This window comes from Homo sapiens, chromosome 15 (genome assembly GCF_000001405.40).
Source record: "Homo sapiens chromosome 15, GRCh38.p14 Primary Assembly".
Classification (NCBI taxonomy): domain Eukaryota; kingdom Metazoa; phylum Chordata; class Mammalia; order Primates; family Hominidae; genus Homo; species Homo sapiens.
This window is the reverse complement of record NC_000015.10, coordinates 73,787,531-73,812,921: the sequence shown is the minus strand read 5'-3', so window position 1 is coordinate 73,812,921 and position 25,391 is coordinate 73,787,531. Positions and strand designations below refer to the sequence as shown.

Sequence of the window (25,391 nt, the reverse complement as noted above, 5' to 3'; positions counted from 1 at the left end):
TGGTCAGCTTAGAAAGGGAAGAGAGGGTGGGGTGCAACAGCTGACTTGGGGAAGTGGAATCACCCAGGCTTGGGCCTCCAGCGTCTATCTCAGAGAGACCATTGTCTGAGAGAGGGGGAGATAGAGGCATGAGGAAACCAGCCAGACACCTGGAACAGAACAGAGAGTGGAAGGCACACACAGAAGAAGGTAAGGACATAGCTGGACAACAGGCACCTTGACCTAGAGCACACAGCTGCCAACATCGGCACAGCCACCTGGGATGCAGGGACCAGAGGGCAGCTGGGCTGGCACTGTGGGAGGAAGGACTGGCTCCAGGGAAAGGAATGACAGCTCCAATGATTCTGTGTTGAGGTTTTGTTGTATTGTTGCTGTTTTTCCAGAACCTCCCTAAATAGTCTGGAGGCAGGCCCTGCTGCTGGAACAGTAGCCAGGGCTAGTGGTCAACACCCGGGGAAGACCAGCAAACAGTGTTTGTTGTACCTGGCCCAGGCTGGCTCATCTGCTCAGAGATGGGCCAGGCTCTTTCCCAGGGCTGGGGCAGGCAGCCAGGCCGGATAGACCCTGGGTCTCCAGAATTAGTCTTCCCCCTCATCCCCCAAAAGTTTATATGGAGGCAGCTCAGGATCAGGGGATGGGGGCTGGCTCTTATGGTTGGGGGTGGCACCTCCACACTGTCCAGGCTCCATTCTGCTATGGTGTGTGCTCCCCGTCTGAGGTCTGTCTCCCTGTCAGGCTTAGAGCTTCAGGGGCATAGACTGTCCCATTCATCCCTGACCCCAGCGTCGTACAGACTGGACTTGGACAGAGCATATGCGCAGGGTGATCTCCCCATCTTGGGAGAGGTGAGTGGATATCCGTCAGGGGACCCTGAGTTCTGCATAGAGACTTCACTAGGGGCTCTCAAAGGTCCCTTCTCCAGTCTAGGAGGCACTACCTTTTAGGGCCCTTGTAGTAACAAATGATGGAAACCCAATTTGAGCCAGGTGGGCACAAAGAGATGTCGCTGGATCACAAAACCAAGTGGTAGGGAAGGCCAGGGGAGTAGCAAGCCTCGTGGAGACTGAAAGTGAGACTCCTAAGCCACACGGCCTCCCTCTTGGGGTCTCCCCTGCTTCCGCTGGCTGCCAGCCTCTTTTTCTCCTGCCAGCCCTCTCCACAGGCCAGCATATTGCCCACAGGCTGCTCCAGGGCTCTCTCTGCCCAGAGCTACCTGCGGAGAAGGGCTGTCTTTCCTGGGTTCTAAATTTTCAAGAGATGTTGACTGGCCATGCTTGGATCATGTGCCTGTCCCTGTGGGGTGGGTGGGGGGGATATTCTGTGATTGGCAGGTCCCTGAGGAATGGCACTCTGTTACAAGAAGAAGGGTGGAGATTGGACAGACAAAGCAAAAAGCATCTCAGTTCACCTGCAACATCCCTTCTTCCTCTGAGCCAGGGGTGGGCTGATATAGTTAGGGAAGTGTATAGGGGTCATGCAGGGGCTATCACCTCTCCTACTCCCTGGGATCAGCTCTCAGTCACCCATCGGATCAGCTCTCAAATCCTCTCTTTGGCATTTCAGTCCCATTTTTTTTTTTTGAGATGGAGTTTCGCTCTTGTCGCCCAGGCTGGAGTGCAATGGCATGATCTTGGCTCACTGCAACCTCCACCTCCCAGGTTCAGGCCATTCTCCTGTCTCAGCCTCCTGAGGACACACCACCACACTCAGCTAATTTTTGTATTTTTAGTAGAGACGGGGTTTCATCATGTTGGCCAGGCTGGTCCTGAACTCCTGACCTCAGGTGATCCACCTGCCTCAGCCTCCCAAAGTGCTGGGATTACAGGCGTGAGCCACCTCACCCGGCATGCAGTCCCTTTACAACTCCCTCCCCATGTCCTTGCCTCTCCAACTTCCCCCACCCTAAACCCTTCCTCTAGCAGGATAATTTCTACATACAAAGCAGAGCCAAGTGGCTATGAGCATGGTCTCTGAACTAGATTGCCTTGGGTTCACATCTAGGCCTTGTCACTAACTAGCTGTGTGACCTTGGGCAAGTTATTTAACTTCTCTGTGCCTTAGCTGTTATGAAGGTTAAATAAACTGAGCCATGTACAAGCACTGGAACAAGTCCTGGCTTATGGTGAGCCCTCAGGGCATGTTCACTATTCCCCTGGCCGCTGAGTCTTGGCTCCCACCAGCCCTGGCTAGGATGCCAGTCCTCTTAAGGCTTCCCTGACCACTGCACCACCATGGGGAATTCTCATCTCAGAACCCCTGGGGCACTCAAGGTTGGGCACCTGACTGCACATATTCCCAACTGGTCCGGGACCCAGGAATCTTCCTACTGTTGGTGAGCTCTGTCCCCAGAGCACCCTGGCTCAGGCCTAGGCACACCGAGATGTTGAGAAATGCTTGGACTCCTCCCCTGCAGGACGGGCAGGCCAATGGAAAGAGAAAGCTGTTGGTGACCCTGGAGACCACCCCTGACCAGGGACCATTGGAGCTAAGCAGTGGAGCAGGCACAGGTCTCCCTCCCAGCTGCCACTCCCCCTGGTATCCAGGAAGTCCCTGTACCTGTGACATCACACTTCATCCACAAAAATAGCCGGCGCATCTCAGCAGCCTGGGTGCAGCCTGCTCTGTCGGGTGACAGGCTGTAAGTGCGAGTCAGCATCTGCTGGGTGGATGACACCCCTCCCTTCTGACCCCAGAGCAGGGACGCGCTCACCCAACTGCGGAGGTGACTAAGGCTGGGAGAGGTGTGATAGGCAGGAAAACAGACATAGGCAGGGTCCAGAGTTTCCAGGTTTAATTCTGAAAACCAGAGCCCGTCTGGGTCCATGTGTCTGAGGTGGTGTCTTTCTCTGGTTCTGGAACTGGATCTCTGCCCCTGCTCTTCCCTTCCTTCCTCCCTCTCCTGAGTCTGTCTCAGCTGAGTTAGTGCCCAGGGCTGTGGGTGGCTGGGCTGGCAGAGGGCAGAGTGCCAGGGTTTCAGGAAGAGAAGCACAGATTAGTCAAGGACTGTCAGACCCAACTACATCCCCATGGAGCCTGGCAGTGACATGATTTTAGTCCACGGGCCATTCTGAACCAGACACACTGGACTCCACTGCCTCCCATGGGGTCTTCCCTGGGCTCTGGCCATAGAGTGTTCCTGGAGTGCCCCCACCGACTCTGAGTGAGCACATGGTTAGAGCAGGTGCCTACAGTTCTGGGCTCTGCACAGCCAGGGCTGGGTAGGAGCATTGCATGTGCCCTCCCAGCCTGGGGGAAGCAGACAGCAGCAAATGGGAGGCTGGAGTCCTTCATAGGTCCTGGACCCCCCAATTCTTCTGTTCTCCAGCATCTGGAAGGTTATTAGAAGCAGCAGTGGAGCAGTGGCCTTAGGAAACACCCAGAACAGCCCCGTGTGTGTGTATGTGTGTGTGTGTGTGTGTGCATATGTGTGTGTGTATGCACGTGCACTTGTGCACAGAAGCTATAACATTGTAAGTCTGGGAGACTGCATATGCTCAGAGGTGAGTGTAACTGTGCCTAACTATTTGTGGCAGGGTGCTTGGGTGGGGTATGAGACAAATTCTGAATGTAGGCTAAATGGTGCTAGGATGTGGTGGTGGGGGGCGGGGTGTCTATCTATGTGTGTGCCTATGAGGGTAAAAGCTAGGAGGACTTTCTGGAGGGAGAGACAGTGAAGGAGACTAATCCCCCTCATCCTCATACCGCATTTCTATCTTACCTGGCAAAGTGTAGGGCCAGATGATTCCAAACGCCAAGTCTATTTAACTTGGGACCTCATTACAGAATAATTTTTTCCATCAGAAAATTTGCTGAAACAAAATGGTGTTTGGCTTTAGCAAATATTGAACCAGTTTGCTTTCCCAGAGCTGACACTGGAGGGAGGGTATGACGAGCTCAGGCCATGGGAGGCCAAATAGCGACCCTTCATTGGCAAAGAGAATGCCCCCAGGACTGCCCAGTGAGGCAGCCTCACACCTGGGAGGGACACACGTCTCTTTCTGCCTCTGCTTGTGCTGGGCCATCTGCCTTGATGTTCTGGAATGTTCTCCCCTCCCCTCTTCCACCTGAGGAACAACGGCTCTGCCGCCAGGAGTTAGTACACCTGCCATTTCTGTGAAGTGACCTCTGGTTCCCTTCCTCTCGTCAACCCACAGCACCCCATATCCTCCACGACAGTGAGTTGATATCTCTCCCCCACTAAATGGAAGCCTTCTTACATACAGGGTTTTGTTCAGTTCTCTAACCCCAGCATCTAATGCACAATAGAGATTTTTTTTTTTTAAGACAGAGTATTGCTCTGTTACCCAGGCTGGAGAGCAGTGGCATGATCTCAGCTCACTGTAACCTCTGCCTCCCAGGTTCAAGCAATTTTCCTGCCTCAGCATCCCACGTAGCTGGGATTACAGGCGGGTGCCACCACACCCAGATAATTTTTGTATTTTTAGTAGAAACGGGGTTTCACTTGGCCAGGCTGGTCTCAAACTCCTGACTTCAAGTGATCTACCCGCCTCAGCCTCCCAAAGTACTGGATTACAGGCGTGAGCCACCGTACCCGTCAGAGACTTTTTAAAGTTAATACATGTTGGCCAACTACATGTGCCAGGCACTTGACAAGGAGTCTCTTTTTTAATTCCTCAAAACAACCTGTGGGTCAGTTCTCTTTGTGACATTCCCATTTTATAAAGGAGATTGAAACTTGCACTGTCTAGGAATGGGGGCAGGCATTGAACTCATGTCTTTCTGACACAAGAGCCCAAGGTCTTAACCGTTCTGTGATGTTACGCTGCCTCTCTGTAGAGACAGGAGTCCTGGACTCGAGGTCAGGAGGCCTAAGACCCATCATGGCTGTGTCTGGCTCTTTGTAACCTGAGGCCTTGACTTCTCCATCCATAAAATGGGAGGACAGGTGCTTCCAGCTTAAGGCCTATGCCAGTAGCAGGAAAGACAATAAATGTGCTTTCCCGTGGACATCTTGTTTTAAAGGTTGTCTTCTGTTTGCTTTGCTTAATTGTTGTTTTAAAGGTTTTCTTCTCTTTGCTTTATTTGTTTAATTACAGCCTTCTGTCCATGGCCTCTGGAAGCCTGGCTAAGTGAGGCAGATGTGAAACAAACCAGGGTTTATTTTCTCCTAGCAGTTTGGAGTAGAGGACAGTGCCTGAAGCAAGGATCTCAGACTCTGGGTTTCAGTGCCCCATCTTCTCTGGTACCTCTGTGTGGTCTGCACTACCCTGCCCAGGGCCTACATTTGAGGCCAGCAGAAGCCAGCTGAGGCAGGGTTGGAGCTGGCTCTGGACCACAGGACAGGTGCCACCAAATGCAGAGAAAGCCCCCCTTTCTCAATCTTTGAGGGGCCTGTCAACCTGAATGCCCCTAAAGCTCAATCTGAATCCTGCCCAGCCTCCTCAGCTACTCAAGAGGAGGCAGAAACCCAGTCCCCAGCAGGGCAGAGGGAACATGGGAGGCCATGCCCAGAACCTGACTGCCCAAGCGCCCAGCTGTGCCCATACCACCCTGGGCACTCCTGGACAAGCTCGCCCACACCTCCCAGGCTCAGGACAAAGGAGTCCTGGAAGAATGGACCAATGGGCCTGGAGCCACTGCCATTTGAATGCTTTGAATGCTTCCTACAGGGCGGTGAATCTCTCTGCTTCCCCTCCCGCCTTCTCCTGGGCTCCTTCTTGTTCTGTCTCTTTGCTCCCTCTCCCCTTCCCCTCCCTCACCTCCTCTTCTTTTTCTCTCTCTCTCTCCCACACAGCTGCCTCTTAAGAACTCCAGACGACGCTTCACAGTCTTAAAGCAGAGGAAGGCCACAGGGTCTCAGTTGTGCTGTTCATTCTCCCTCAGAGAACATTCTCCCTGGAGATGGACAGCCTGCCCAGGGTACCTGAAGCCTGAACCACTGGAGAGACCATGGTCTTCTTACCAGCCTTTCACCTCTGATAAAAGTTTCAAACAAAGCTGGGAGTTTGTTGACTTGTGAAGGCCAGGTGATCTGTGGACGATCTCAGGTCAACAGAGCTGAAGAATGGCAGCAGTTCAGTAAAGGGACAAAGGCCACCAAAGGGAGAGGGGTCGGCAGACTTCTATAAAGGGCCAGCGGGGAAATATTTTCAGCTTTTCAAGCTAAACAGTCTGTTGCCACGTCTCAAATCTGCAGTTGCAGCGCAAAAGCAACCATAGATAATATGTAACGAACAAATGTGGCTGTGTTCCATTAAAACTTTATTTTGGGGCACTGAAATTTGAATTTCGTATAATTATCACATGTCATGAAATATTATTCTTCTTCTCATTTCCCCCTCAATCATTTAAAAATGTAAAAACCATTCTTAGCTTGCAGGCTGTCTAAAAACTAGGCGGTGGGGGTTGGAACTCGCTGACCTCCAGGCCAGAGGATGCCTGAGACAGATCTGGGGCTGTGGTGGGACAGGTGCATCAGGCCATCAGATAGCAAATCATATGACCAACAACCCTGTGCCACCTCAGCTCTCTAATTCAGGTTCACCAGAGAGACTTCAGATCATCTTCTCTTGTAACTTGCTTTTGGGGAGAGAAGCGGACCCAGGAGTATACATGTACCCAGAAAACCCTCAGAAGTTCTATTTCTCGTTGTGAATTCCTAACCCAGCGTTTTGATGATAATTTGACTTCCTACTGTAGCTTGCCTACTGGGAGCGATGCTATTCTGCCAAGACAAACATCCGCTGCACTTGAGTAGCATTTCTTATTATAAATTAATAAATTGGCATCAGGGTATGTATATAAATATCAGTCCCTGTGAGCTTGGTAAATGTGAATCTGCCACAGAGAGATGAATCTCCTTAGCACCCAGCTCACCAAAGCAGATTCCTATGTCTCCAGTGCTGGCAGCAAGGCCCGTGGTACTTTCTCAAAGTAGACGCCACCATGAGAGACCTCCAGGCAGCCAGCCGGGTTGCCGGTGAGGTTCTGTGCTGGCTCTGCTGGCTCCATTGCGTAGGAGCTGGCTGCATCGGAGGCTGGGTGTGGAACGATGGGTGGATGGGTGGGTAGATGAGTGAAGGGGCAGATGATGAAAGGGAGACTGGTGGGTGGGAGGGTGGATGGATGGGTGAATACAATCAGCAGGTTTGTGCCCACTGGCAAAATTGGCCCTGGGGGGCATGGCAGGTGACAAGGTAGCCACATATGTCCTGAGAGGGAAAGAAGGAGCCAAGAACTAACATGCGTTGTGCACCTACTATGTGCCAGCTTTGAGGCACAAGGCTGGCTTTCTCTCTCTTGTCCCCATCGATCCCCTCTCCCTGCTCTCATGACCTTGTGTGCATGAACTTGACCTCCATGGGCCTTCTCAGGCCCTTCCTGACTCAGTTCCTAAGTACAAGACAATTCTTTTATGTTCCTGGGGCTTACAGGAGTTGAGGGGAGGTCCTTCCATGCCCTTTCATCAGCACCAGCGCTCACTTTATTTGCAGTAGGTACAGAGTGTTTTTGCCCCAACCCTCACTTGTAGAGGCAGAGCCCATCTCAGGAGAGATGTTGCAAAAATTTAGGCTCCCCAAATGGCTTTCTTCCCCTCCCCACTTCTCTGCGGCAGTGCTGTCCCCATCCCCGCCTTTGGCCTATTATGGGTCAGGCTCAGACTCCTTCCCATTCTCAGATCCCTGGGTCCTTTCCTCTAGGAAGCCCTCCTGGATTGCTTCCAACAGAGCCCAGTTTCCTACAGGATGTTGCAACTGTGCACCTGAGCGTCATCATTTCACACAGAGCGAGGTAGCAGCTACAGTGCGTGTGCGTGTGTGTGTGTGTGTGTGTGTGTGTGTGTGTGTGTGTGTGTGTTGGGGGTGCTCTGAGGCTTCCCTGCCTCCCTCTCCCCTTGCAGCTGAGCTGGGATGAGCTCCCATAGGTGCTGAGCAGCGACTAGCTCAGGGCTGATTGCTCCATCTTAAATGAGGAGCCGTTTAATTTTCCCAGCGAAGCTTCCTTCAGCAGATGAGCTAAGGGAACACGGCAGGCCTATTGGAGGAGGGAACCGCCAGAAAATAAACCCTGAGCCTGGCTATTATTACTTTTTGTTGTTGTTAATTTATCCCCTGCTTGGCTTCTGATAGGCTCCAAGATGACTAAATAAACCCAGGAATCAACTCCCCACCCTCCCAAACTCAATCTTCAGCAAGGGAGAGCTCAGTCTGCGGCATAAATTAGCGGAAGCCAGAGTGTAAAAATATGATTCTGTGAACAAACAAAAGCCTCCAGTCATGAGACCAGCAGTGGCTGAGCTGTTCCCACTGCCGTCAGCTCTGTTTCCAAGCAATTAGAAGGCAGAGGGAGAAGAGCCCGGCAGACCCCCCCAGTGGAGCTGGGAGGGAGGGAGGGGGACAGGGGGCAGCCCTCCAGCGCCCTGCTGCAGCCCTCCAGATGCTTGGAGCTGGTGCTGGGGCTTGCCTGGTAGGCAGGAGAACTGTCTGTCTGGCCCCAGGCTGCTGGGGGACCCCCTCGCCAACCCCCAAGCATGATTTTTGCCTCTTGGCCTCAGTCTCTTCATCTTTAAAATGAGCATAATAACTCCTGGTGGCTTTTCCACCAATCTGTCATGAGGATTAGACAAAATAAAAGGTTGTAAAAGGTTTGAGGAAAAGCAGAGGGAGGTGAGGGGTGATTGCTGGAACTTGCGGCAAGTCGAGGGGCTGCCAGGAGAAGGGGTCCCACTGGAGAACTAGCTTCCTGCTTGAAATCTCCACCCACACCCATTCTGCAGATGTCAAAAGTGAGGCTCAAGAAGGTTGGGCTTGGCCTCAGTTGACTCTCCAGAAATGGAGCCTGCCAGACACAGAAGTCAGTGGCTTCCCCACTCCACCTTGGAGTCAGAGTGCCTTTGGCAAACTGGAACCAGATAACTGAGGCTAGTGTGAGCTGTGGGCTGAGCTGGTGGGCGAGTGTGTTGGTGACCTATGCCTGGCTCATCTGGGCTGAGCTTGGTGACAGACATGGGGCAGTCCACAGCCTGGCACCCGCCAGCATGGTTTAGACTAAAACTACCCTCCATCAGTTCTCTGGCCTCTTATAGGAAGAAATTCTGATCCCAAGAGGGCCCATGTGAGCAAGCCCCTTGATAGGCATTGAGGACCCTGGAATGGCAAGAGACAGTCCCTGTACCCAAAGGGTTTGCAGTCTGCTGCTGGGGACAGGCTCTTGGGCCACCTTCAGGATCGGCCTTGGATGGACAGTGCTTCCCCTGCCTGCAATGCCAAACTGGGGATTCCAGACATGAAAGGGCACAGAGCCAACATTTACTGTGCCCTGATGCGGAGCCTGGTGCTCATCCTGCACCATCCATCCGGTCCGCTCCATGGAGCCGCCTCTCTGTGCCAGGTATGTGGCAGGGAGCAATGCACAGGCACCCCTGCCCTCCTGGAGTGAGGGCGGACAGGCACTGAACAAAACGAAGCATAAGATGTGAGATGGTGCTAAGTGATGTGGAGAAAAAGAAAGCAGGAAAGAAGGTATGGTTTGAAACCCGACCATAATCCTCAAAATACCCCTGGTTTAATCCTCAAAATGCCCCTCATCTGCCAGTTGAGGAAAGTGAGACTCAGAAAGGTTAAGTAGGTTGGTTGCCCAAGGTCATACAGTAGGAACAGAGGCACTAAGATTTGAACCTGAATGTTCTGATAGGGGAGCTCTTTATTCAAATACCAGGCAACCATCACTCCAAATGACCCTGGAGCAGACAAAAATCAATCAGAAATCAATCTAGAGGGTCCAGCAAAGAAGCTAACAGATCAAGGAGTTCCATTTACCCTGGGCAATCAGGAAGGCTTCATGAAGGAGGCAGCAGCACTTGAGGCTGGTCGGGGAGAGCTCCCTGCCACCTCCATCAGAGGCTTCACTGGGCCTGGTGAAGGGTGCTGGTGCAGGCTGGGGCTGCCTCCTATTTCCCTGCCGGCCACCTTCTCTCAGCCAACCCCTTGCCTTCCAGAGCCAACTTGGCTTAGAAATCAAGCAGGGACAAGAAGTTCCCTTCCTGTGCCAGGCCTGCAGCCAGTCCGAGGCTTTGGCCTCTCCTGCTTGCCTACAGATGGCAGAGAAACCTCCAGCCCCGAGTTCTGGGCATCAGCCTGTTGGCCCAGCAGAAAGGCTGCTGGGGGAAGTTTGGCTGAAAAAATGTAGAGTGAAAGAATTGATTTTTTTTAATCTACACAGTCGTAAACATAAACTGGAAGATACATCTCTTCCTTTATGGGAGACAATCAAAAACACAATACGAGTTTATGGAGGGAATGTGTCTTTCTTATACAGGATATTTTCCCCAAAACACTTGGCAGCCTGAAACCACTCCATTCCAGAGACAAGTAATCAAGTGGAAAGAGAAGGGAGGGAGCGGGATCCCAGGGCTTTATGAGCCAGAGGCCCTACTCTGTTAATGACAAAAAAAAAAGGGTGGCTTTGCTCCTCATTTCCCCTGCCCTGGAGACCCAGGGCCTTGTGAGATGAGCCCAGAGACCCACATTCAACCTTTGGCAGCCAAGAGCCAAGGCTGGGCCATAATCCCATGCTGGATTTTCAGTGCAGCACCTCTGGGCATGTCGGGGCTAGGCCCTGTGCTGGAGCTGAGCACACGGATGGATAGCACTTGATTCTTGCCCTTGAGGAACCAGCCAGCCAGCAGGAAGGGGAGAGATTTACGGAACTGATGCTGACGGTAGGCAAAATGAATCAGGAGTGTGTAGACGTCTTTTTCTTCCCCTTCCCCTAAATCTTTACTTCTCTCTTGACCTGACTCCGGGACTCCCAGCCAGACACCCACCAGTAACTGCTCGATAAAACTTGCCCACTGGGTCATTGAAGCAGGGCCTTCCATGGTGGCAGCAGGGCCTAAGATGTGGTTGCCCGGAACCAAATGTTCCTAACTCTCTGCCGCAGAAGACACTTCCAGCCCAGCCACACTCTGGGATAGGCAGTTCTGTGCAAGTTCAGCATCCGCTTCAAGCACTTGAGGCCAGGGATTCCACTTTCTTCCTGGAGTCCAGAGGAGCCATCACCTCCCTGGAGAAGCCCCCCAACCAATGGGTGATGGTGGCCAATATATAACCCGCCCCCCTGACTTCCGTCCTTTAGGCCTTCAGTCCTGGGAGATACCAGGGGAGTAGAGCCCTGCCCTCCACAGCGGCTTCTCTGTTAATGCTCCTTTATATCAGCTTTTCCTCCTTCCCTGTCTCACTACCCAGCTACCCTCTTCCTGAAATCTCCCAATACACTTCCTGTACCCAAGTCCTGGCCCCAGGCTTTAGGTTCAAGGGAGCCCAATCTAAGAAAGCACCCCACCACTTCCATACTCCCCAACAGACAAGATCTCTGGCCTGCCTAGCACCTCTGGAATGTGCTCAAGATAGGTATATTCTCATGGCAAAGGAGAGAGCCCAGCCTCAGTTGGAGGAGACGGGGAGAGGACAGTGGGCCTTCTCCTCCTGGAAGCCATCCCTCCCTCCTTTCCAACTTCAGCACAGATGCCAGGCTCTGGAGCCCAGCGAATGAGGCAGGGCCCAGCTCCACAACCACCTATGTGACCTGGGCAAGTCACTTAATCTCTCAGAGCCCCATTTTTCTCATCTGTAAAACGAAGATGATGACACCCATGCTGAATAGCTGTGAGAACTGGATGAGGTCATGTCTGGGAGTGGATGCACAATCCAAACAGAAACGCATGAACCACTATTTGTATGAATTTCATCTCCCTAGACAGACTGCCAATTCCTTGAAGGCGAGGCCCTTCTTTATTTTTTCCTGTCTCCCCCACAGCTCCAGCATGGAGCTAGGTACCTAGCTCTCATTGAAAACTCCCTGGATGGAGCGGGGATTGGCCCTGAGCCCTGGGCTCCACTCAGACTGGCAAAGCTCTGCATGGCCAGATGATGAGGGCCATTCTGAGCGTGCCTTGGACTGCACAGAGCTGGCCTGGCCCTATGCCTGGTGCCAGTGAGAGGACAAGTTGCCCTCCCAAGTTGGGAACGGACGGTGGGCAGGCCAGAACCTGGAAGAAGTGGTGCTAGCTGACGCAGCCATCCTACCGTCCTGAAAAATCCAGGATGACAGTGTTGGGGGCTTTCATCAGCCCCAAGCTCTTTTTGAGTAAAGGGAAAAAATTGGCTTCCACTCCAAGCCCAACTGCATCCGACATCTGGCAGCTCAAAGTGAAGTGACTCATGCAATCCTTAGATACAAGGAAGTGGGGGGAGGAAAGAGAGAAGAAGAAGAAAATCGCACAGAAGGAGGGAGGGCAGGCAGGCGATGTGGCCCCCAGACAAAAGAATTAGCCAGAGTGGAGAGCAAAGGCTGGTCACATGCCCAGGTGACAGTGAGTTGCCCAGCCTTTGTTTTGTTCACCCAGCTTTGGGTCTACTGATAGGACCTCTGGCACCAGGCACTGCTGACCTAAAGAGACACAGGTTTTGACCAGCCCTGGTAGGATAAGAAGTGACCCTGTGGATAGTGAGCAGCCTGTCACCGGAGGCATGCAAGAGAAGCTGGATAAACTCAGGTAGGAGTGTGGTAAAGACTCTGGCTAAATAAGTCTTGGAGAGATTGAAAGATAGCGATGTCCCGTAAGACCCTGAGGGGAAGGGTGGATAAAGTCATGGAGATTACAGAGCCCACAAGCCTGGTTGTCTGACTGCAGGGACAGAAGCCATTTCTCTGTCCATGCAGGTGACAAGGGCAGGCAGTGTGAGCTGGAGGGGTCTTCTTCAGCTTCCCCTGGGACCCAGGCCTTGGTGACCTTCTCTTCTCCAGTATGATTGCTCTGGGAGTTGCAGAGAGGACTGGAGGGCAGCCTGCAGTGGGGTCACCTCTTCAGGGAGCTCAGAGCATGGCAGGGGAGGAGCAGCAGGCCTGTGGACGGATGAGGGAAGTTTCACAGCACCCCATTTGTCTCGTCAGAGCCAGTCTCAGGTTCAGGGTCACACAAGGGAGTGAGAGGTCAGCAGGTAGATGCGATCACGGGAGAATTCTTGGAGGAACCAGAGCCCTTGGAGCTAGTTCTAAGGGTTGGGCCCAACTATACATAAAAGTCCAGTCAATATCAAGTGAGTGTTAGAGAGACAGAAAGATAGAAAGTGGGGGCAGTCATTCCCGCTGGGAAGAACTGCTGAGCAAAGGTGCGACCATGGGGAAGAGACTGGCCTGGGCTGGGAAGGGAGGTTGAAGCAGGAAGTCAGGGGCTGTGAGGTCAGCCTCTGTCTTTTCTAGGTCTTAGTTTATGCCTCTCTCAGGAATGTCTTTTCAGGGTTCCTCCCGTGTGGTTGGAAACCTCAGACAATGTTTCCTGCCTGCTCTTCCCACCCAGCGGGAGGGCCACACACCCAAGCAGGAGGTGGGGAGGGTGCAGGCAAGTCCCTCCTCCCTGGATCTCCCACTTCCCACCTGCACAAGACAGGTTGAGCTGTGCAGTCTGCCAAGGCCCTTCTAGCCCAACTGTATCCAGATTCTTAGGTCTGTGGCCAAAGTCAGACCAAAGCAGAGGTCACCTCTTGGCCCACTTAGTGCAACATAACTGCCAGCGCCTTTGCCTCAGCCAGATGGGTCCAATTCCACAGTGGCCTGCGGGTCCTCAGCACCCCTCCCCCACCAAGTCAGGCATTACCTCCTCAGCCTGCTCTCCAGGAAGGCCTTCAGAGTCATCCTCACCTCCAGACCTTAGCTCACTCTGCAGCCCTTCCTGCTAATGTCCTTGCTCCTCCTCTCTGAGCAGAGGGCACAGCCTCCAAGGGCCAGAGGAAGATCCACACGGTGTTCTTTCATTCAGCCTTCCTGACAGGCTGGGAGCGGGTGCTGGGCGGGTCCTGCTCAGGATCTGCCTTGAGGAGCCCCCATCCCCGCTCCTTTAGGGCCCTTCGCTGAGTGTTCCGTTTACAGGGGCCTCGTCCCCTCTGAGCACCAACAGGCTGATGTACTTTTGTCCTCACCTGCTGTTAATCGTGCTCTGCTGTTAGGTTCGCTTCGTAGGAGGGCACCGTGTGGACATTAGGAGCATGGGCTCAGCAGTCAGACCCCTGGGTTTGTGTGTGAGGTCCCACTCCCCAGCTGAATGATCATGGGCAAGTGAGAGCCCTCCCTACACCTCAGTGTCCTCATCTGTAAAATGGGGATAGTGATAGTGCCTATTCCGGGGTTACTATAAGCAGTGCATGTGACTATGTATGTAAAGTGCCAAGTGTGGCACCTGCCATATCACAAGGGTTCCATGTCACTTGGGGTCAGTGTTCACATGTTACAGTTGTTAGGACCCAGGCAGGTCCCTCTCCATGTGTCTCCAGGCTCCCCAAGGGCAGGGCTTTGGAGGGGTGTGGAGGTGCAGAATGCATGGTTGAGGGGGTTGTATCATAAATGTACTTTGGGTTATTTCACTGATCCCTTGAGTCCCATTGACTCCCAGGGGGTCTGAAGGAAGGGGTGGCAGGACAGATGAATTCTGAAGTATGGAAAGCAGAGTTTGCAGCTTCCCAGAGGGGCTCCTGGGGAGCTGGGGTGCCTCATAAGCCCTGGGATGGGGGCCCCTGCTAAGGATGACGCGGCTTTGCCCACACTGGGCCTCATTCAGTGCCGGGAAGACTGAGGGAATGACATCGAGGGACAGGCAGGTGCAGGCTCCCTGATCAGGCTCCCCAGGCCCTCAGTCCCTGAGCCCATTAGTCAACAAATGTTTCTAAGCACACTCCAGGCTGCTCCCTTGGACCAGGTTGGAACCCCAGGACCCTGTGTCTACCTTACTGCAGACCTGGACTTGTGATAGAGAAGGTAGGGGGTCCACCAGGGAGGGGGCCAAGCCAGGAGGGGGCATGAACCACACCCCTGGAGAAAAGGTGGCTTCCTGGGACTGGTATTCTGGCTTTGGCCTGTTTCCTTCCTAAGTTCCCCCAGGGCCCAGAATGGGGCCTGCAGTTGGCAGCTGCTCAGTAAACCTCTGTTGAGCGAATGAATGAATGAGTGAATGAATGAATGCATTAATGAATGAGTGAGTGAAAGCCAGATTTGTGTCACTCAGCAGAGCACACCCATGGGATGCTCCCCCAGCTCCCCAGGAAAGCCCATCCTCTCCAGATCCTCCCACTCCCCCAGCCCCTGACCCGGCCCAGACCCTCTCCCTGCCCCATAAGCAGCCACGGTCTCTGCCCCACTCTGACCCTAGCCCCCGCTCCTGCCAGTCCTGCAGCCCCGAGTAGACTTCCAGGCAAGCCAAAGAGGGACGTCAACGTGCGGGCTTTCTGTTGTCACTAGCTGGCAGGTCTCAGGTAATAGCGCCTGTGGAGAACTAGCTACCTTAGCCAAAGAATTTGCAAATGCATGCCAGGAGTGGGTGGGTGAGCAGAGGATGGCAGAACGCCTCGGACTGGCTCCTTCCATGGGCGCCCCACTCCCACAGCAGGGTGGCAGCTGGGCGAGATTTCTCCCACACTCTGAGAGCTCCTCCCTCAGGACAGGCTGCAGAGGCAGATGATGCTGTCCATCTCTGGCCCCTTCCTGTCCTGCAACTCCCAACCACACTACTGGCTACCCCCGAGTGGCACTACCAGGCTACTCCTGAACTAGAGGAAGGGCAAAGGGAGTAACTAAGGCTCAGACCAGGGACATGTCTTGCTCCAGATCAGATAACAACCTGCCTGTGGAGCTGGTAGACAGACAGATCTACCTGTCTGTCTCCCTACCAAGGGGGGAGGTAGAGATTGCTGGGCAGAACGCACAGGCGACTAGCCCAGGAGAGAAGCTGCACCCACAGACCCTGTGGTCGCACAGACCCAATGTTGGCACCTCAGGTCAAGGAACAGCTGTGGGAGGAGGGGAGGGGCAGCTCCCCAGCCATCTAAGAGTGTCTCAATGGCAGCTCCCCGCTTCCCAGAACTAAGGGTGTCAAAGGGGCTAATTGTTTTCCAGCTAGGGTGACCAACTCATCTGTTTGTCTGGAACTTGGCTGGTTTTTGCATGTCCAAACGGGCTCCAGTAGAGGCCCTGATGGGCCACTTGGAGCTTGCCGCATTGTCCTGTCAGGACCCTCAGTGGCCATAATGAGACAGTGACAAATGGGGCATCTCTGGTAGCCCTCCCCAGAGGATGGGCCAAAGTGCAGGCCTCTGGCCTCTGAGGGAGCAGGCCCAGGGCCCGAGGCACAACTACTCCACCATGGCATTCCTGGGGCAATTGGCCAGCACGCCCAGCCAGGCTCAGGCTGCCCTCTGGTCCTCTCCTCAGCTGGCTCAGTGCCTGGTCCGACAGGGGCTGAACATCTCTAACTGGGTCACCGCCACCCCCACCTTCACCATCGCGCCTCCATCAGAGATAGCGTGTCAGCTGCAATTAAGAATTTCAAGTTGCAATTAAAAATTAATTGGAAACCGTAGGTTGTTTATGTCTCTCTGACCTCCGTCACCCTTATGGGGGAAGACAGGTGAGAGGAGGAGGAGGACTTTTTAGAGTGGGTATCTGTGGGAGGAGGGGGGCCTCTGAGCTGGCATAGGTTGCAACGGAGCAGATTTCTCCTCGAGGCTAGAAGGAGTGACATCAACCAGCTGGCCTTGAATGCCACAGTCCCTGAATTCTTTGAGAGCCCCAGAGCATGGAGATCTGTGGGTGGGAGAAGAGAGAGACTAGAAGGAAGGCATAGAGGAGAACTGCTGGCAGAGCGAGGCCTGGAGGCAGAGGTCAGGATAAAATTTAGGTCTGCAGAGGGCCATAACCAGGAGGTGTTCTGGATCTCAGGAAACAGTGGCCTGCAGGAATAAGAGAGCGCTTCCTGGAGGAGGAAGGAACACTAGACCTGGAAGGGCCAGCGGAGGGCACAAGCCTTGAGGAAGACAGGCAGAGGAAACAGAGTGAGGCACTGACAGCCAGCAGTGTGCGCAAGGAATTGGGACCACGTAGGGCGGCTTCCTCAGATCCTCATGAGCTGCACCTGTTGCAGGGTGGGAAAGGTGGGGACCTCCAGCCTCCCATTCTCTGAAATGGCCCACATGGTCTCTGGCCCCACGTTCTGCCTGCCAGGCCCAATGTGCAAGGCTCTCCGTCATATTCTTAGGATGAAAAGACTGAGTTCACACTCCTCGCCCTCCCACCAGGGCTTGGTATGACCACAGTGATCTCTGTGTCTCCAGGTGAAGGTATTTTGCCTGCTCAGTCCCCTATGGACACCGAGGCCAAAGTCCCCTTAGCATTGTCATCTTAGCTGCTGCCTTCAGGTGATCCCTGTTCCCTCTACATCTCTCAGCTGGCCCTTCCAGGTCTAGTGTTCCTTCCTCCTCCAGGAAGCCCTCTCTCATTCCTGCAGGCCACTGTTTCCTGTGATCCAGAGCACCTCCTGGTTATGGCCCTCTGCAGACCTAACTTTTATCCCATCTGTATTGGTAATAAATCAGTCTAGTGTTCCTTCCCCATCCCCACTCAGGACTCGGCAAGAACAGGTACTGGGTTATTTTCTACTCCATGATGCAAATACTTGATCTAACAGCAGTAAATGCAAAAGGGCTGTCAATAAAACACATTCTAAATGCCAGGTCATGGGTTTGTACCTCAAAGCCCCAGACACAGTGAGCAACAAGGACTAAAGCCTGGGTGACAGACTAAAACAATGATTGAGTCTGCTTACTTGGAGAATGTCTATGGCTTTTTCTCCCCCACAAATTGTGTAAAAAATAGAGAGAGAGAGTGCATGTGTGTGTGTGTGTGTACACGTGTGTCCATGTCTCTTGCTGTTCTATGCACCTGTGGAGTGAGGGCCCACATTTTACCACATTCTTAAAGGGGTCAGTGAATTAGGATTTGCTTTCAGCCGTTAATAACAGAAACTCAACTATAGTGGCAAAAGCACATTTGCAGTTTATTCTCTGCCAAAAAAGAAGTCTGGAGTTAAGCTGTCCAAGGTTGTATGGCAGCTCCATGATGCTCAGGAATCTACTTTCCTTCTATCTTTTGACCTACCATCCCTTATATATGGCTGTCATCCTCGTGGGCCCAAGATGGCTACTTGAGCTCCATTCATCACATCCACATTCTGGGCAAGAAGCAGAAATAAGGAGGATAGTGAAAAATAAAAGGGCACATGTTATCTACCTGTCTTTCCCTGAAGGGATATTCCCCCAAATCCTCCCTACAACATCTGCTTAAAAATCCACCCCACAAAATCACTGGTGACATGTAGCTGCAAGGGAAACTGGGAAATGTAGTCTTTTAGCTGGGCATCTTGCCACCTAGAGGAAAACTGAAGTGTTCTTATTACTCAGAAAAAAGGAGGAGACTAGGTACAGGGAATGCAGTCAGTAGGCTCAGTAGGCTCCGCCATAAGCAGCAACTCCAGCAAGCTGAATAAGCCTTAAGACCTTGAGCTTGGCTGGCCTGGGCCAAGATTTTATCTCTTCCAGGGAGGAGAGGGGCTGCCCACGATCCCGGGACCACCCCTGAGCTACACCTCCCTGCTCACAGATGGCAGGAGGCCAAAGTCCACTCGGGCAGGTGCTCAGCAGAGTTGCCACTTGGCTGGAGTCTGTGGCTATGCAGGAGAGAGTTGATGGGAGAAGGAGAGGCCAGGTGAGGCCCAGGCCCTGAGATGGGGAGACAGACCAGGGACTTGATTCTTTTGTTGTCATATTTGCTGTTTCATTGTGCGTCTAAATTGTGGGCCTCCAGGAGGCAGTGGGCACCATGACCACTCCCTTTCCACAGCTCTCTTTTAATGAAACACCTTTGCCTGCCTCTGGCTCCTGCCAGAAAAGGCAAAGGAGGCTGCCCAGAGCCTGCAATCCACCCTGCTGTTTCAATTAGGAAAGATGTGTCTTCTGAGGATGTCCACAGTGAGGCTGGTAATTAGGGAGCAAAGTAACTGCCTGCTGCTCTTTCAAAACTGACTTGGAAATCTTGAAGGGGCTGTCTGGGTGGCTCCTCGGCCCTCCTGGTTCCCTCTTATCCAGCACCGTTTAGATCCTCACCCCCAAAAAAATTAGTTTTGAGCAATTAGGGGGTTAGGTGATGGGGAAGCTAGACACCTTCCCAAAAAGTAATTAAACATGTGATGGATATGGTGAAGGAGAATGCCGGATGGGAGGGACCAGCCACTAAATTGGAGAGTTGACCAACGGGAGAGATGGAAGAGGAAAAGCTCCAGCCTCTCTCCTATGGGCCTAGGCCAGGGAGAGACAGGATTCAGCCTCATGGGATAGCAATGGAACACATTCATTCAACCAATGTTTCCTGAACACCTGCCATGTGTCAGGTTCAGTTCTAGAACCTGGGGATGCTGCAGTTTACAAAGCAAAGGCCTAATCTTATGGAGCTTACAGGTTAGCTGGCAGAGGTGGACAGTTAAAAAAAAAAAAAGAACAATTAAACACAAGGGCTATGGAAAAATCAAAGCAGGCTAAGGAAATAAGGAGTGACGGGGGTGGTTTGCTATTTTCTACTAGCTGGTCAGGAAAGACGTCAGCTGAGATGAGATGGAAAAGCCATGATAGAGTAAACCTTGAGGGTCACCTGGGCTTAGGGGCTGTAACCAGCAGAGGGAACAGCCAGTGCAAAGGCCGAGAGGTGGGGAAGTGCTCAGCATTTGTTGAGACACAGCAAGGAGGCCAGTGTGGCTGGAACAGAATGAGTGAAGAGGAGAGCAACAGGAGGGGAGTCAGGTTGGTAAGGGAAGGTGGTCATCAAGGGCCAAAGAGGCCACAGTGTCAAGTACACTGAGGGTATGGAGCAAAGCACCAGCCTGGTGCAGTGTAGAAAAAGTAGTCTGAGGGGCCAGATGTGGTGGCTCACTCCTGTAATCCCAGCACTTTTGGAGGCTGAGGTGGGCGGATCACTTGAGGTAGGGGGTGGGCGGATCACTTGAGGTCAGGAGTTTGAGACCAGCCTGGCCAACATATTGAAACCGTGTCTCTACTAAAAATACAAAAATTAGCCAGGCTTGGTGGTGTGTGCCTGTAATCCCAGCTACTCGGGAGGCTGAAGCAGGAGAATCACTTGAACCCAGGAGGCGGAGGTTGCAGTGAGCCAAGATCACACCACTGCACTCCAGCCTGGGCAACAGAGCAAGACTCCATCTCAAAAAAAAAAGAGAGAGAGAGAGAGAAAGAAAAGAGCCATCAATGAGGCTTCCTAGAAGAGATGGGACCGATTCAGATGCAGAAGAGGACAGGCACATTTATGCAGGGAGGGGGCAGACTGATCCATTGCACTGGGCAGGCACAGAGGCTGGCAGGTGAACTGCAGCAAGACAGTGAGTAGCAAGGGTAAGTCTGTGCGCCTACCCCATGCCCTTGGAATATGTCCCACCAACTGCCTCCCTGGCCACCTTTCTATTTGTGGAGCAGTCATCACGCCCCATGTTAGACACGGCTGCTGTTCCAAATGGATTATTGTAAATGATTTAATCACCCACATTAGCACTCCCTGGCTCCCACGTGGGGGCTCTGGAGCTTCTCCTCTCACATCGGCCCTGGCAGAAGCTTTTCTGCAATTTACTCAGGCTACCGGCACATGAAGAGGTTTCCAAAGTACTGTTCCTGCCTCCAGTGGGGGCATAAGAGGATCCGCTGGGGTATGGGAAGAAGCTATTAGAGCTTCTATTTATATTTTGTTCTTTATCTTATACTTTTAATATGACTATTGTATATATTTTATAACATATAGACTATATTAGCACAGAAATACATGCATATAATTTATGAATGAATTAATATTGATATGTATTAGGGACACGCTTAATTTTTTTTTTTTTTTTTGAGACTGAGTCTCACTCTGTTGCCAGGCTGGAGTGTAGTGGCGCGAACTCGGCTCACTGCAACCTCTGCCTGCTGGGTTCAAGCGATTCTTCTGCCTCAGCCTCCTGAGTAGCTGGGACTACAGATGCATGCCACCACGCCCGGCTAATTTTTGTATTTTTAGTAGAGACGGGGTTTCACCATGTTGGCCAGGATGGTCTCGATCTCTTGACCTCATGATCTGCCTGCCTCAGCCTCTCAAAGTGTTGGGATTTACAGGCGTGAGCCACTGCGCCCAGCCCACACTTACTTTTTTTACTGCTGGGAGTGAGCTGCTGGAAGTGTTTAGGGTCTGCTACTGTAGATAATAATAGCTAACAATTACATGGAACATGTGCTCCATGCTCCTTTACTTCTCACAACAGCCCATTTTACAGATAAGAAAACTGAAGCCCAGAAATGTTGAGTGACATGCCCAAGGCCACTCAGCCTGGAAGATGCAGGGCTGGGATGTGCCCCCAGTGGTCTAGCTGAGAATCCATAATGCTTCTCTGATAAGACTGGGGTCCTCAGACAGGAAGCAGGGATTCTAGATTACTCAGTTCATTCTTTGTTTCTGACAAAACGTCCCTACGCCACTCAAGATTAGTGACCAGAATCCCAAAAGAGCACCCCATCCCCAGCTCATGCCTGCCTCCCACAGCTCTCCCATGCCAATGCAACTCGTCTCAATTCCTGTTGCAATCTCAGCCACTTGTTTTCATTTCTCCTCTGGGAAAATGGAGAACAGATTATCTGTTTTGTTGGATGGGGCAGGAAGGGCTGGCTGGTGGTTAGAATTCTGTCCTCTTAGGAAACATCCAAATGAAAGATGGGTGGGAGAGGAAGCCAAAAACAATGAAAGAATCCTGGAGGGTTGTGATGGGAGAGGCTAAGAAGTGGGCCATGGGACTGCTGGAGAAGGCAGGAAGAGGCACACAGAGCCTGGACAGCAAAGGGCCCTTGGAGCAGAGTAGGGCAGACAGGAGGGAGTGCTACAAGCTTCATCTAGGAGACTGGGGTCTTCATCCCAAATCTGGGGACTGAAGGGACCAGGGCTGCAGGGCTCATCTGCCCACCAGAGAGCACAAGCAGCAGGCAGGTAGAGTCTTGAAGCCTCTGAGAAAAGCTGATGGTCATCAAAGGGGTGAGATTTTGCCCCAAGAGGCTTCCCTATCCCAAGCTTTCCTGACTCCAGGGAAGTTTCCCAGGACCCAGTGACTTCCTTGGCCGTGGATGAGCAGGGAGACTGGTCCCTTTGACTCTCTGACTCAAACCTGAATCAGGAGGGCAGGACTGGAACCAGGTGTAAAGTGTTTAGATCCTGAGCCTCTAGTATGATGGTTATAATGGATAAAGCAGAGTTTGCCATTTCCTGAGCATTCACTAAGTGCCACATTCAGAGCTAGGTGTTTTTCACCTGTTAAGCCTTCCCAACCTATGAGGCACTGCTATGGTTTGTATATGTGCCCCAAAAGGTATGTGTTGTAAACTTAATTCCCAATGCAATAATGTTTAGTGGTGGGGTCTAATGAGAGGTGATTAGGCCATAAGGGCTCTGCCCTCATGAATGGATTAATGTCATTATCATAGGAGCGGGTTTGTTATCTTGGGAGTGGGTTCCTTATAAAAGGACAAGTTTGGCCCCCTTTTACGCTCCACCCACTTCCCCATGTGCACATGCCTTCTCTGCTTCCACCATGGGATGATACAGCAAGAAGGCCCTTATTAGATGCTGACACCTTGATCTTGGACTCCACAGCCTCCAGAATCATGAACCAATAAATACTTCTTCATTTTAAGTTACCCAGTCTCAAGAATTCTGTTACAGCAGCACAGAATGAACTAAGGCAGGTGCCTCCCCTTGTCCTCATTTACAGGTAAGCAACTCAAGGTTTGCAGGATCAGGATATTGCTCCAGGTGAGTTGGCAAGTGGTAAGCCAGGATTTGAACTCAGCCTGTTTTGCCTTACCTTGCTCTTAGCAGGCAGTCCCTGAGCCTGTAGTCTTGCTCTAAAGGAAAGTCAAGGCCTGGAAAAGATTAGTCTCTGACAGCAGCTCCAGGCTGAACTCTGATCGCATTCATAGACTGAGTCGTGACTCTGTCCATGCAGTGGCTCCTGACCCTGGGCACACACTGAGCCCTGACTCTGGTCATAGACCAAGCCCCAACCCTGATCGTACACTGAGCCTTGACCCTGGCCTCACACTGAGCCCCGATGGAAGTCTACATTCAGAATAAAGGCCAGCACCAATATTTGTTGAATAGATAGTTGCTGTTGGGCTCCTGAGAGATATGCACAGATCATGACCTCCTCAGTAAGGATTTGGGAAGTTTATGCCACATGAGACGCTGATGAGGGAACACTTGAAGTTTATTGGAGATCTCAGGGTCCAGATGTGTCTTTTCCAGTGGTCACTCTCTGAGTCTTGGAAGATAGGCCTTCAGAGACACACCTGGCAGGCATCCAGCAGCTAGGACAGCTAGAGTGAGGCAGCTCTGCCTGTAGTCTAAGGCTTCTGGGAAGGCCATGGCTGGCACTACATTGGCCTAGGCAAGGACAGCCATGTCTGCCCAACCAGTTCACCAGTCCTGCTACCTGAAGCCTAGGCCACTTGATCAGGGGAGAGAAGGAGCTGTCACAGGGACCCTTCCTCAGGAGCTCTGGGCAAGACTAGCAAGAGAGGTACCCTCCTGCGTGACACCCCCAGGAAGAGACCTATTGCCCTCTAGGCAAAGTCAGGTGCATTTTCCAGACTTTGTGCTAGCATCCCACAGCAGGATCTAAAGAGGGAAAGCAGCCATCCGCAGTCCTTCCACACCTCTTTAAGAAGCCGTCTTGGCATCTCCAGTCCTCTTAGAGCTCTCCATCCTCCTCCCACCTGGCATCAAGGGCCCAAGGCTTCTCCTTTTACAAGGTCATATTCTGTTTTCACAACCATGCAGTCCCACATGTTGGAGTAACTGATGGAATGAATGAATGAATCAACACGTTCGTTAGGGGTTAGCTGGCTTGTTGTGTCGATAAAGTCTCTGTCAACGTCACAGATCCTCCAGAATGGCATTTCCACCCCTCCCCAGTAGCTTGGCCTCAATTCCTCTGTCCCTTCACTGCAGACATCTTGCTCATCCAGCTGTGGTGCATGGGGTTGTTAAACGGCTGGGGGATCCTGAGCAAGTCACTTCCCTCTCTGTGTAGTTCCCTCATAGCAACTTAGGATAGCAATAGTGCCAAGCTCCAAGGTCTACTGCAAAGGTTAAATGTGGTGGTGCATGTAAAGCAGTTTATAAATGAGTGGCGTTCAGCAAAGCACCTACTGCCGTGCCTGGCACCTAGCAGGTGTCAATGCAGCAGAGTCCCAGTTTCCACTCTCTGCCTGCCACCTTCTCTATACTCCAATTGGCAAGAGGTGGGTGGGGCTGTCCTTGACTGGCCAAGGGATCCCTAACCCCCAACCCCTTATCCCAAATGAGTCTGCAGACACGCCCTCCCCTGCCAGCTCATTCTAGCCATTTTTCTGCTCTGCCTCCACCCCCACCCCTTTGCTCTGGTAGCTGTGGTTTTAATGTGCACAATACGATTACGGCAAAATGGGTTTCCCATCAAACCCCCAACAACTTCTCTCTCCCATCCCCACCCCAGTGTCACCATGCCCCATTCTCTCCCTCCCTTGGGGACCGTGGAGTTTAATTTCAGGACATAATTCCCTGAATAGCTCTCTTCCACTGGAGCTTCCTACATACCTCCAGAGAACCCTTGGAAGCCTCAGGAATCAGGGTCAGAGCCCAGTGAGAATAAGACTCCACAGTCACGAAATTTCTACTGCATAGCTTGCCATCTTGAGGGAGCAGGAGCGCAAACCAGGAAAGAGGGACGGCCAACCTAACGGGACAGTCTTACGGGTCCCTTAGTGGAGGGTGGGGCCTCTGTCTCCAGAACTCCCCACTGGAAAGCGGGAGGCTGGAGCAGCTACACACTGGCTCCCATCCCTGCTGGTTGAGGGCTGTCCTGGAGGTATTCTCTCCCCCGCACTTCCAGCCTGCTTTGATCCACCGGTCAAACTGCCTTTCCTGGCGTTGGTGCACTTGAGGGGAAAAGGGCCAGCACAGGGTGAGCCCAAGTCCATCCAGAACCATCCACACAATTATGGTGGAAATCAGAGAAGAGCAGGGGAGATGTGGTGCTGGGCACAGAGAAATCAATGATACTAAGCAGCACCCTCCTGCTTAGGTTTCAGTGGCTTCCTTTTGTTGGAGACTCTGCAAGAGTGAAGATCACAGCCTCCTTCATCCTGTAGAGTCACTCATTCATTCTGCAAACATTTCCTGAGCCATGCTGAGTGCCAGGTCCCATGCTGGGCACTGGAGTCATGGAGATGAATCAGGCAAGGCCTCTTCCCTCAGGACTTCCCAGCCTAGGGCAGGAGGCAGAGCCGCACCTAAATGATGCCACAGAGGTTGGGGAAGAGAGGAGTATGGAGCTAGGTGTTAGCTTGGGAGAGTCAGGGAAGCCTCCACCAGTGAGCTGGGGTTTGAATTGGGCCTTGAAGGAGGAGTAGGTATTGACCAAGCTGAGAAGTAGGGAAAGATTGTCCAGGTCCAGAGCCTGCCCCCAGCATACCCCCTAAGCCATCAGCAGA

At 52.4% G+C, this 25,391-nt stretch overlaps 1 long non-coding RNA gene across 2 annotated transcripts, besides 3 other annotated features; it reads left to right on the top strand.

Annotated features, from left to right (window-relative positions):
- Nucleotides 1-2,622: 2,622 nt before the first annotated feature.
- On the top strand, nucleotides 2,623-6,241 carry LOC105370892 (uncharacterized). Of its 2 annotated transcripts, none has more exons than XR_932453.2 (3): nucleotides 2,623-2,722; nucleotides 3,326-3,500; nucleotides 5,756-6,241. It is a non-coding gene; the product is annotated as an uncharacterized LOC105370892 (long non-coding RNA). The 2 variants fall into 2 exon arrangements; XR_932454.1 differs by lacking the exon at nucleotides 5,756-6,241 and adding an exon at nucleotides 5,058-5,182.
- Nucleotides 12,770-13,448: an enhancer, noted in NCBI's record as "H3K27ac-H3K4me1 hESC enhancer chr15:74091815-74092493 (GRCh37/hg19 assembly coordinates)". NCBI's record gives its function as "activates a minimal SCP1, AML or CMV promoter by ChIP-STARR-seq in naive and primed H9 embryonic stem cells {active_cell/tissue: H9 hESC(naive and primed)}" and the evidence as "EXISTENCE:reporter gene assay evidence [ECO:0000049][PMID:30033119]".
- Nucleotides 13,449-14,128: an enhancer, noted in NCBI's record as "H3K4me1 hESC enhancer chr15:74091135-74091814 (GRCh37/hg19 assembly coordinates)". NCBI's record gives its function as "activates a minimal SCP1, AML or CMV promoter by ChIP-STARR-seq in naive H9 embryonic stem cells {active_cell/tissue: H9 hESC(naive)}" and the evidence as "EXISTENCE:reporter gene assay evidence [ECO:0000049][PMID:30033119]".
- Nucleotides 14,716-15,674: an enhancer, noted in NCBI's record as "H3K4me1 hESC enhancer chr15:74089589-74090547 (GRCh37/hg19 assembly coordinates)". NCBI's record gives its function as "activates a minimal SCP1, AML or CMV promoter by ChIP-STARR-seq in naive H9 embryonic stem cells {active_cell/tissue: H9 hESC(naive)}" and the evidence as "EXISTENCE:reporter gene assay evidence [ECO:0000049][PMID:30033119]".